The sequence below is a fragment of the Homo sapiens genome, chromosome 10 (assembly GCF_000001405.40).
Source record: "Homo sapiens chromosome 10, GRCh38.p14 Primary Assembly".
NCBI lineage: Eukaryota > Metazoa > Chordata > Mammalia > Primates > Hominidae > Homo > Homo sapiens.
In genome coordinates, this window is record NC_000010.11 from 18512221 (window position 1) to 18512615 (window position 395).

A 395-nucleotide genomic window follows, 5' to 3' on the forward strand; every position below is an offset into this window, starting at 1 on the left:
CCTCGTGCCCTTCCACTCTGCCTCTTTTGTTAAACCCAGTGGCTTTGCATAAGTCACCAGAAGTCTTCCAATGTCATTTTATTAGACAGATTTCACTCGGATATCTTGGGACCCAGTGTTTTCCCATTAGTCTTCATCAGCCTAAAATCATCTTAATCCTGTCCTTCCTGGAGCCCTCCCTGAATCATTGGCCTTGTGTATGACTCCTTTGCATTGACTGGATTGAGAATTTTCCATTCTCTCTTTTTCTCAAATGTCTGTTGCAATTTTAGGGAAACTTTTCACACTGTCCTTATTTTTACACAAAATCTGCAAAAAGAAAAATCTTTTTTTGCACATTGTATTGTTGGTGCAAATGTAATTGCGGTTTCGGACCATGGATTTTAAATGATAAC

At 39.0% G+C, this 395-nt stretch overlaps 1 protein-coding gene across 15 annotated transcripts in view; it reads left to right on the top strand.

Annotated features, from left to right (window-relative positions):
* CACNB2 (calcium voltage-gated channel auxiliary subunit beta 2) overlaps positions 1–395 on the top strand; it is a 403134-nt gene that overhangs the window by 371797 nt on the left and 30942 nt on the right. The gene's annotated exons all lie outside the window — the stretch shown is intronic.